Here is a 12,378-nt window from a genome sequence, read left to right as displayed (position 1 = left end):
ATTTTTGATCCAGGGTTGGTTGAATCAATGGAAACAGAATCCATGAATGTGGAGGGCCAACTGTTTATTAATATCAAAGGGAATAATTAACTTTACAGTGGAAAAACATATCAGGCACTACCTGAAGCACATGGTCAAAGTTAAAATCACCAGTAATGGAACAAATTGACATGTGCCTCCTGATACAAATCACCAAAAGAACCAACATAACTTCAGTGGCATTATTGCGAAAAGTGCATAATCTACATCTAATCATGATAAAACATGAACAAATCCAAAATGAAGGACATTTTCCAAAATAACTGCCCTTTAGTAGTCTTCAAAAATGTTTAGGTCACAAAAGACATAAGAACTGTTTCAAGCCAAAGGAAACTAAACAGCCAAGACAATTACGTGCAATGTGTGAACTTGGACTGCATCCAGGACCAGACTAAAGGTTTTTTCTTCTGTTATATGGATGTAATTAGAAAAATTGGTGATGACATTTGAATACTATCTATGGATTAGATAATAATGCTGTAAGGATTTTAATTTCCTGATACGGATAATGATATTCTGGTTATGTAAGAGAATGTCGTCGTTCTTTCAGAAATGCCTACTGAAGAGGTATCATGTGTGCAACTTACTGTCAAATGGTACAGGAAAAATATCCATACAATAAAGAAAAAAAATGACAATAGAAATGTGACAAAATACCAACATTTGGGGAATCTGGGTGAGGGGTATACAGGAATCCTTAATACTATTCTTACAACTTTACTGTAAATCTAATATTATTTCAAAACGGAATATTAAAAAACATCGAGTAATAACCTTAAAAATTGATTTAGTAAGGACAATTCCTAAAACAGAAAAATCAGACACCAGAAAACTCAATGAGTGCAAGTGACAGGAAGGGGAAAAAATTAAAAGCATAGCAAACAGAAGGCAAAACATAATGGCAGAAATACTGCCACATATGTCAGCAATGGTAATAAAATGAATGTATGACATTCACCTATTAAGAGACGAATGTCCTGATTGCTTAAAACCAAAAAACTCAAGATCTTGCTATATTTTATAAGAGGCATACCTAAAACAAAATAACTGAGGAAGGTCAAAAATAAAAGAGTGGAAAAAGTTATAATAGGCAAACAAATGCTAACAAGAACTATAATACATAACGGGCAGTGGCAGAGATTGCTGGCTGCCTATTCCAAATGCGCATTCTCACTTTCCTCCTTGATAACAGAATGTCCATTTTTAGCAAAGACAGAGCTACTTGAAGTAAAAGACTAGATTTCCTAGTCTCCTTGGCAGCTTAGGTATGGCCACTTGACTGAGTTCTGCCAGTGAGATGGAAGTGGAATTGTTTTCTGGGACTTCTGGGAAGGTCACTTATTGGAAATCAGTTGAGCTGGGGGACAGGCCCCTTTTTGCCCTCCTACCTTTCCTCTTCCTTCTGGCCCTCAATGGAGATGTGCTGGCTGGAGCTCCAGAAGTCTCGTGGACCATGAAGGGACCTTAGGATGGAAACCACACACCAAGATGGTGAAGCAAAATAGAGGAGTCTGGGTCCCTGATGACACTGCAGAGCCCTGAGACCTGATATCCATCTCCAGACTTCTTTTACCACAAAAAAAAAAAAAAAACATTTCTAATTTTATTTCTTATTTAAATTTTTTTTTCTAATATATGCTGCTGAACCTAATCCTGACGGGAACAATAATATTATTTAGAGAGAAAGAATTCAAGGCATAAATAAAAAATAAATAGGACAAAGAGGACTATTTCATATTGTGTGAAGGAAAAACACAGAGAAGTTTAATAGTTATGACCTGTAAATATTCTGCACTAAAACAAACAAACAAACAAAAAACAGCTTCAAAGGATATAAAGCTAACTCTGACTAAAATATGAAAGTGGACAAATAATTTAGTTGGGATGGGAAGTTTATACATACACATCTCTCTCAGATATCAATAATCAAAACCACAATGAAGGATATAAGGATTGGTATAACACAACTTAAGCTTATTCTGACGGGGATATAAGGAACTTGTACCCAAGAGAAAATATACATACTTTCAACCCAAATGAAAAAGCTGTGAAAATTGACTATGTTTTAAGTCAGGGATCAGCAAACTCTTGAAGTAAAGACATATTTTAAGCTGTGTGGGCCACAGGGTCTCTATTACAACAGTCAGCTCTACAATCATAGCTGGAAAGGGGTCATAGACAATATGTAAATAAATGGATGTGGCTATATTCCAATAAAACGTGATTTACAAATGTAGGCCCCAGGCCAACCTGGCCTACAAGCTATAGTTTGTGGACCCCTGTTCTAGGTAACAGAGGAAATATTTTAAAAATCCGTAAGGCTGATACCACACAGGCCACAATCAGTTACCATAATGTAGTGTTAAAAATTAACATACTAGTCCCTCCCTCAAGTCTAAACAACTGGAAATTTCAAAATTTTAAATTTTTAAATGCACTTCTAAATAACCCTTGGGTTGAAGAGAAAATAAAAATGGAAAGTACAAATTATTTACAAGTAAACAAACAAAAAACATCAGAACTGCCTTACTATATATACATCAAAACCTGTGGGCCCAGAGTGAAGAGGAAAATTTATGACCTCAAATGTATTTATTAGAAAACTAGGAAGACAGAAAATAAACCTGGTTTTCACCTCAAGAATTTAGAATACAACAATAAAATGCAAAGAAAATAGAATAAATTAATAAAGAGAAATGCAGAATTTTTAAAAAAGGCTAAGAAACTGAGTTGTAAATAATGCTGCTATGAACATGGGTGCACAACTATCTCTTAGAGACCCTGCTTCCTTTTTTTTTGTTTTTGAGACGGAGTCTCACTCTGGCGCCATCTCGGCTCACTGCAAGCTCCGCCTCCCGGGTTCACGCCTTTCTCCTGCCTCAGCCTCCCCAGTAGCTGGGACCACAGGCGTCTGCCACCACGCCCAGCTAATTTTTTGTAGTTTTGGTAGAGATGGGGTTTCACCGTGTTAACCCGGATGGAGAGACCCTGCTTTCAATTCATTTGGGTATATACCAAAAAGTGGAACTGCTGAATCATATGGTAATAATATTCTTGATTTGAGAAACTACCATACCATTTTCCACAGTGGGTGTACCATTTTACATTTCTACCAACAGTGTACAAGGGTTCCAATTTCTCCATGTCTTTGCCAACACTTGTTATTTTCTGGTTTTTTAAAACACCTTTTTGAGATATTGATTTCAATTTTATTGGATATACTCCTGGAAATAGGATTGCTGAATCATATGACAGTTCTATTTTTTGTTTTTTGAGGAGTCTCTATACTGTTTTCTATCTTTGACTTTTTGATAATAGCCATCCTAACTCATTATGGTTTTGATTTGCATTTCTCGGATTAGTGATGCTGAGTACCTTTACGTGTACTTATTGGCCATTTATATGTCTTCTTTGGAAAAATGTCTATTCAGGATCTTTGCCCATTTATAAATTATATTATTTGGGTTTTTCGCTATTGAGCTATATGAGTTCTTTATATATTTTGGATATCAGCCCCTTTATCAGATATATGGGTTGCAAATATTTTTCTCCCCTTCTGTAGGTTGCCTTCTCATTTTGTTCAGTTTCTTTTGCTGTGCAGGCGTTTTAGTTTGATATAGTCCCACCCGTTTCTTTTTTCCTTTGTTGCCTGTGCTTTTGGAGTCGTATTCATAAAATCTTTGCCAAGACCAATGTCAAGCAGTGTTTCCTCTGCTTTCCACTAGTAGTTTTACACTTTCAGGTCTTATGTTTAAGTCTTTAATTCATTTTAACTTGATTTTTGTATATACGTGTGATAAGGATCCACTTCCATTCTTTCGCATGTGGGTATCTTGTTTCCCCAACATCATTTATTGAAGAGACTATCCTTTTCCCATTGAATATTCCTGACATCTTTGTTGACGGTTAGTTGACTGCATAAGCATGGGTTTATTTCTGGGCTCTCTATTGTCCTATTAGTCTATGTGTCTATTTTTATGCCAGTACCATATTGCATTGATTATTATAGCTTTATAATATACTGTGAAATCACATAGTGTGATTTCTCCAGCTTTGTTCTTCTTTCTCAAGATTGCTTTGGCTATTCAGGAACTTTTGTAGTTTCATATGAATTTTATGATTTTATTTCTATCTCTGTGAAAAATGTTATTGGAATTTTGATAGGGATTACACTGGATCTGTAGATGACATTGGGTAGTAGTGTGTGGGAAGTAATGTCTCATTGTGGTTTTTATTTGCATTTCCCTAAAGACTAATGATTTGGGGCAATTTTTCACGTGTTTATTGACCACTTGTATATCTTCCTTGGAAAAACGTCCATTAAAATCCTTTTACACATTTTTTAAAATTTAGGTGAAATTCACATAACATAAAATTAACCATTTTAAAGTGAACAATTCAGCGGCATTTAGTACCTTCACAATATCGTACAACCACCACCTCTATCTGGTTCAAAAACATTTTCATCACGCCAAAATAAAATCCCGTACCTATTAAACAGTTACTCGACATTCTTCCTTCCCACCAGCCCAGGATAACACCAATCTGCTTTCTGTCTCTATGGATTTAGCTATTCTGGATACTTCCTATAAGTGAAATCACACAATATGTGACTTTTTGTGTGGCTTCTTTCACTTATGTTTTCAAATTCTTTCAGATTGTAGCATGCTTCTATACTTTGTTTCTTTTTTATGAATAATATTTGATCGAATGGATATACAGTCATGCATTACTTATTGATGGAGATGCGTCCTGAGAAATGCATCGTTAGGCAACTTCATTGTCATTAAAACATCATACAGTGTACTTATACCAAACAAGATGGTACAGCCTACTACATGCCCAGGCTATATGGTATAGCCTATTGCTCCCATGCTATAAACCTGTACAGCATGTTATCATATGGAATACCATAGGCAGCTGTAACACAATGACAACTATTTGTGTATCTAAACACAGAAAAGGTACAGTAGAAATACAGAATAAAAGACCAAAAAAAAGTACACCTGTATAGGGCACTTACCATGAATGGAGTTTGCAGGACTGGAAGTTGCTCTGGGTGAGCAATTAAGTGAGTGGTGAGGGAATGTTAAGGCCTAAGATATTACTGTACACTACTGGAAACTTTATAACACTGAACACTTAGGCTACACTATATTAAAAATTGTTTCTTTCTTGGCTGGGCACGGTGGCTCATGCCTATAATCCCAGCGCTTTGGGAGGCCGAGGTGGATGAATCACCTTAGGTCAGGAGTTCAAGACCAGCCTGGCCAACATGGTGAAATTCAATCTCTGCTAAAAATACAAAAATTAGCCAGGCATGGTGGTGCACGCCTGTAATCCCAGCTACTCAGGAGGCTGAGGCAGGAGAATCACTTGAACCCGGGAGGTGGAGGTTGCAGTGAGCCTAGATCCTGCCGTTGTACTCCAGTCTGGGTGACAAGAACAAAACTCCATCACAAAAAAATAAATAAATAACAATAAAAACTAAATTTTTTCTTTCTTCAATAATTAACCGTAACTCTTTTACTTTATAAACTTGTTAATATTTTGAATCTGGTAACACTTAGCTTAAAACACACTGTACAGCTATACAAAAATATTCTCATTCTTTATATTCTTATTCTATAAGAATCAACATTACACTCAAAGAAAATGACCATTGGAGCACTGTGGAATTCATATTTTCAGATTAGGGATGCTCAACCAGTAAGTATAATGCAAATATTCTAAAATCTTAAAAAATCTAAAATCTGAAAGTATTTCATATAAAGGATACTCAATCTGTATTTGCTTTAAAGTCTTTATCACACAATTCCTACATGGGTGTCAGCTCAGTGTTGGCATCTGTTAATGTCCTTTTCTATGCAAGTTGAAATTTTCTCAGTTCTTCACATACCAAGTAATTCTGAATTGGATTCCCAGTATTTGGAATATTATGTTGACACGCTGGGTCTTGTTTATATTCTATGGAGAATGTTGTTACTTTTGTAACAATCCACCTAGTTAGGTTCAGGTTCAATTTTCCGCAGCCTTCTGTAGGCAGCGGTTCTAATTTTTCAGAGCCTTTGTAGTGTTCTTTGGATCATACCTGCATGTGCACCACCTAGTGGTCAGTATAGGATCTATGCGGTGGTCTATTGGTTAATTCTGTTCTAAATTATGCTAATTAGGATCAGATCCATGCATACATTGCTCAAGTATTAGCCCAGAAATTTATAAGCAACTTTATGAAGTTGCTTTATCATGTTCCTCCCTTTATGTGATTTCTTGGACCCCTTTTGTTCCTCCTACCAGCAATGAGACTCTAGCTACTCTCTTGTGTTCCTTCATGATTTGGCCTGCGTATACACCAAATGTTTAATAACCAAGCTTTCATTCTTTTATCAAAATAATAATAATAATAATCATTATCATTTGCAGTAACAGCAGCATCAAGAATTCTTCTAATTAATAGTTAATAATGATAACAATAATAATGATAAACTGTCTGGGAGGAAGTATGACAGCAATGGCTAAGACTGGTGTCCCACAGCAAGATATCTCAGGTCTAGAACAGAGTGATACCTGAACAAAAGAGCTGGCTCCCAACCTATTCACCGTAAAGTGAAGCCTCATGTTGACAAGCCAAGGCCACAAATAATGAGCTACCACTTCACTTTTTGTTGCTTTATTCTTAAAAAGGGATAGACAAGGAAGATTTTAAAAATTAAACAAAAAAAAATTATCAGAGGAAACAGGTAACTGTAAAAAACAGAAGGCAATCTAACATTTTCAATATCATATCAATAAAATAAAAAAGGATGCTGTGAAATGGGAGTAACCAGCAAATGTAGAAAAAACTCTTGAAAATTAAAAATATAAAATTGCCAAAATAAAAGAGTTGGAAGATAAAATTTTAAAAAGCCGAAACTAGAACAAAATAAAAGAGACAGAAAATATGAGTAAAAAGAAAGAGTCATTAGGTCAATTTAGGACCTTTAACTTGTGACTGATAGGAGTTCTAGAAAAAGAAAGGGAAAAAAACAGGGAGGAATTATCAAAGAATAGAGAAAAGGATATGATATCTCTGTCCTATTAACTTAGGGGGAAAAGGAAGGAGAGAGCTGTGAGAGAGGAAGCATCACCAGTGTTCTCCTTAATTTATCCAATAGAATCCTGTCTCATGGACTTGAAGTGAGAGATGCATCTCCTTCTGCTAGGACTTCAAGTCCATGAGACAGGATTCTATTGGATAAATTAAGGAGAACACTGACCATGAGAACAAGGACTCCTACACTGACTACCATAACCAGCATGAGACTAGAAAGCCTCCTTTCCTTACAGTGTAGTTTTATTTAAGTCATCTTCCCAATACTTCTGATGCCATCTTAGAGTGAACATGGGGAGTAACGGAAGTAATTGAAGGAATGAGAAGTCATTCCCCAAAGACCAATATAAACTAGAAGAAACTGTTTAAATTATGGAATTGGACTGAGTTACAAATAAGATTTCCTCTCTCCAGGAACTAGGTAGGTTGTGGATTGTTTTATCTGGGAATACAAAACAAACAAACAAAAAACAACAGAGAATTGCCCAGAGCTGAAAGACAAGCACTTTCTGATTGAAGTGTACAGCAGTTTGAATAAAATATCCACATTCTAACTATATCATAGTTAGAAAATCATAGAAAATTTCACATCAAGAATAAAGAGAGATACCTAAAAGCTGTCAGAGAAGGGAAAAAAATGCCCTACAAAGGCTTATCATCAGTAACATTGGATGTTTAAAAACAATGAAACAATGCCTTCAAAGTTATGAGGGGGAAAATTTCCACTTTGAATTCTTTATCTAGTAAGGTTATTAATTAAGAATAAAAACATTTCAGACAAGCAGAACTCAGAAAGTTTAGCTGAAATACACACCATTCTTAGGAAGTTACTAGAGAGTCTTTTCCAGCAAAATGACACAGTGAACCAAGAAAGATAACATAAAATCCAGGTGACAATGGATCCAACCCAGGAGAATAATGAAGGAAAGTCCCAGAATGTCAGCTGTGCAGTAGGCCTAGAGAAGATACCAGATCAGGGTAAGAGGATAGTGGGTTTCAAGGGAGCAATCCTAGGAAAAGCAAGGATTCCAAATATTTTAATATTACTTCTGAGGATGTAGAGCTCTGGGAGATGATAAAGGCAGAAAAATAAGGGGAAAAAGCCACTCAAAACCCCATGTAAAAAACAAAAAGCTATGTAAGAAAGGAAGTGGAATCATAGTACACTACACTGCTTGGTTGTACAGAGAATAATCTTTACATAATAATAACAATATAAACACTTTATTTTCTACTCTCAGAATCAACCATAGACAAAGCACAGAAAATGCAATTATGGTTACAACACAGAACATAGATGCTTACAACTGTGAAAATATAAATGCTTAGGGTAAAACTACAAGTAACAGCAGGGAGCCAAAAAATATTGTCTACTGTCAATTGTTAATAGAATAAATAAGCAAACTTTAAGATTAGAAAAGTAACCAACAGAACAAAAAATAGTAACATAACTACATTGAGGAGAATGGAGATGGGGTAGTATAAGTGAGCTAAATCCTCATTTGTGAGAGCAATATAACACAATAATAAATAAGAATAGAAAATATCCAAAACTGGTAAATCAAGAAAGAACATCATAAGTATATTATTTAGAGATATCAAAGTAACAGAAGAACTAAAAGGAAAATAAGGAGAAAGAAGTGGTTCCATTTGAGGAGTGAAACTATTTATTATAAGCCCTTCTGTACCACTCAATATTTTCATGCATATGCATGCATTAGTGTGGTGAAAATTTTAAAAATTAATTTTTCTTGACTAGGTATTTATCTATTTCTCTTCTACATCTTTACACAAATCATAGCTTACTGTTCTTCTACCCTGCATTTCCATTTAACAAAATATCTTGGAGATATTTGTGTATTACTACCAAGCTTCCTTGCTTTTTTTTTTTTTAACGGCTGCATTTTATTCCATTATATGAATGTATTATAATTTATTTAATCAGTTCTGTACTGATGAGCATCTGTTTCCCAATTCTTTGACATTTCAAACAATGCTATAATAATAAATTGATAAATATGACAAGAAAAAAGGCAATACAGTATTTGCTTCTATCTCCCAATTAGACAATGAATGAACATGGCATATAGTAGGTACTCAATTAAGATTTGCTAGTGGCCGGGTGCAGTGGCTGACACCTGTAATCCCAGTATTTTAGGAGGCCGAGGCAGGCGGATCACCTGAGGTCAGGAGTTTGAGACCATCCTGGCCAACATGGTGAAACCCCATCTCTATTAAAAATACAAAAATTAGCTGCGCGTGGTGGTACATGCCTGTAGTCCCAGCTATTCAGGAGGCTGAGGCAGGAGAAATGCATGAACCCGGGAGGTGGAGGTTACACTGAGCCAAGATTACACCACTGCACTCCAGCCTGGGTGACACAGTGAGACTCTGTCTCAAAAAAAAAAAAAGATTTGCTAATTTAGATTGAATTGGATTTCAATAAGGAAATGGATCTATGCAAACATTTAAATCAAGTTTATGACACAGCAAAGACAAGAATCTATACAAATCTAGTACTCTGCATGTTCAGTCTTTGATTTATGATTTACCAGAGAAAGGAAAAATAGCAGCTCAGTTAGGATAAGTGTACAAAAGGAAATGTCAGGCAGGACTGTGGTGATGTAATTACAGTGAAGAGACTGCTCATATGACCCTAGCTTCCTAGGTCCCCAGTATCCAAGCTGCTAAAGAGATTCTAACTCATCGTAGAGCTGTAAATGAGTATAAATAAAAATGCAGTGTCTTAGTGTCTTACCAGTGAAAGGAATAAAATGAAACAAAACAATAAATTCTCTGAATTGGAGATTAGCCCTCCAATACACACATAAGTCTCTCTCATACTTACTCTGAACTCTTTTGGGCCTGTATGGATTGGAAGCAAGTGTAGAGTACCCGGCCAGTCTATCAAAGGAAAAAAGAAAGAAAGAAATATCACACAAAGAAAGATTAATATTGAAAAAGACCCCAAAGGTCCCTCTAGAAGCAGAATGTTAAAAGAGATACCAAAGATGGAATATGCCATAAATTAATTTCTATAAAAAGGATCATATGCTCAGTCAACATAAGATGGTCACAACCAAACATCTGCTCATGTAACAGCAGGGAATTGTTAACAAACACAAGAACCAGGAACCTAAGAACCTGAACATTCAAACTGCCATCCTGAAAGCTGACAAACTTATTCAACAACTACTTATGATGACAATAAATAAATAAACGCATGATGACAAGGTTGAAAGCATTTCAAATGATGTATAAAGTTCAAGGTACTGAACTTTAGTGTTTCTGGAAAACTGATTTTATGGAAAATATTCATTATTAACACAGATTCTGAGAATATAACTAATGCACTAAATAAGACACTATTGGTATTCTTAGCAGAATTCATACCTACAATGTTAAGTAGTAATTTTCTTTTTGTTTGAACTGACACATATTATAACCTCTTGACATGAACATAAAATTCAAACAGAATCCAAATAAAGAATGGCAAGACTGGCCACTGATCAAACTGTTTAACCTCTGTGAGCTTCAGTTTGTTCATTCATAAAATGGGAATAATACTCCTTCTGGGTTTTTGTCAGGGTTACAGCATATTTACGTAAAGCACCTAATAAGTACATGCCATACAATAGGTGATAAATGGTAGTTGTTACTATTAGTAGCCATCAAACTATATTCAGCATCCAACCACTTCTCATTATCTTCACTCTTACCTCCATGACCAAACCTCCATCATCTCTTGTCTAGATTACAGCAATATCTTCCTAACAGGTTTCACTGATGCCACGGATTCCACCCACACCCTCTGCCCACTGTTCAGTCTACACAGAAGCCAGAGAGATCCCATTAAAACATAAAGTCATCCTCCAGTGACTTCCCAACTCAGAGTCAAATCCAAGGCCTTACAAGATCTGGACCTTGTTTAGGACAACTAAATGAGTTATCATTCAAACTGGGACACTTCCAAGAGGGAAGGTCACTAGGATAATAGGGTAAAACTGGGACTGACAGAGGCAAACTGGCATGTATGGTCATGGTCTTCCTCACTCTGCTGCAGCCACACCAACTTCCTTGATGTTTCCTGAACATGCCACACTCACCTTAGGGTCTTTGGACTGGCTATTTCCTCTGCCTGGAACGTTCTTTCCCCAAGAAATCCACAAGACTTGTTCCCTCACCTTCTTCAGGTCCTGACTCAATGACCCTTTTCCTTGAAACCTTTCCTGACCATCCTATTAAAATCGCAAAGAGATTTTTCTCTACTCTGTGTGTAGACACACACACAGACCCTACACACACACACACACACACACACATGCACACACAATACCTTTGTGTTCTTATCTTCTATGAAACAGGAAAAAATAAGTCCTACAAAGCCTTGATCCATCATCTGGTACATGGCTTGTGTGCGAACATCTGAAAATAAATGAAAATTTAAAAATCTTCTGTCAATAAGCTGTGTCTCACAGCTTATTGATTTAAAGATTGACTTAAAGATTTAAAGATAACAGCAACATATAATCTTCCTAGGATTCAGATTGTACAGGCAAAACAGGAATATATCCTAAGGACAATATCAAAGTAAAAATGTTTTGCTAGGTTAGGGTAATACTATCGAAAGTCTGCCATTAAATAATAAAACTTATTAATAACTCTAGCCTGCCTAGCCCAAGAGTAGCTCTGCTATGGAATGTGGTAATAGAAAGAGAAATTAAAAAGGAGAGAAAGTATTTCCTAGAAAAAGCCTTTTGATGGACAGCTTCTAGGAAAGTGAACATATTTATTAGGCTTGCTACTAAAGAATAGAAGTGTGGAACAATTACAGAGGAAAATCTTACAGGAAGCCATTGTATGGAAGTGGTTGTGATATAAATTCAACATTCCAGAGAGTAGAAACCCCTCCTATATGGTTACTTGATTTTTTTCTTAATTCTGCTTGATATGGTTACTGAACTTTTGAAAAGAGATAATAAACAGGCACCAAATAACAACATTAGAAAGGATTAAAATATTAAATGCCAAAAACGGCCAGGCGTGGTGGCTCTTGCCTGTAATCCTAGCACTTTGGGAGGCTGAGGCAGGCGGATCACCTCAGGTCGGGAGTTTGAGACCAGCCTGACCAACAAGGAGAAACCCCTTCTCTACTAAAAATTCAAAATTAGCTGGGTGTGGTGGCGGATGCCTGTAATCCCAGCTACTTGGGAGGCTGAGGCTGGAGAATCGCTTGAACCTGGGAGGCA

General features: G+C 36.1%; 1 protein-coding gene across 4 annotated transcripts in view; it reads right to left on the bottom strand.

Annotated features, from left to right (window-relative positions):
* Window positions 1-12,378, bottom strand: part of BRCC3 (BRCA1/BRCA2-containing complex subunit 3) — a 51,570-nt gene that overhangs the window by 22,261 nt on the left and 16,931 nt on the right. For 2 of the 4 annotated variants that reach the window (XM_005274751.5, NM_024332.4), the window contains exons 6-8: window positions 11,466-11,554; window positions 9,978-10,033; window positions 1,428-1,502 (exon numbers count right to left, since the gene is read on the bottom strand). In XM_005274751.5, coding sequence (XP_005274808.1) covers window positions 1,428-1,502; window positions 9,978-10,033; window positions 11,466-11,554 — 220 coding nt within the window. The remainder of the gene's footprint in view (window positions 1-1,427; window positions 1,503-9,977; window positions 10,034-11,465; window positions 11,555-12,378) is intronic. The other 2 variants (NM_001242640.2, NM_001018055.3) reach the window with 1 other exon arrangement.

Source organism: Homo sapiens, chromosome X, assembly GCF_000001405.40.
Source record: "Homo sapiens chromosome X, GRCh38.p14 Primary Assembly".
In the NCBI taxonomy this organism is placed as follows: Eukaryota; Metazoa; Chordata; class Mammalia; order Primates; family Hominidae; genus Homo; species Homo sapiens.
Note: the sequence above shows the minus strand (reverse complement) of the source record. Positions and strands in the feature narration are given on the sequence as shown.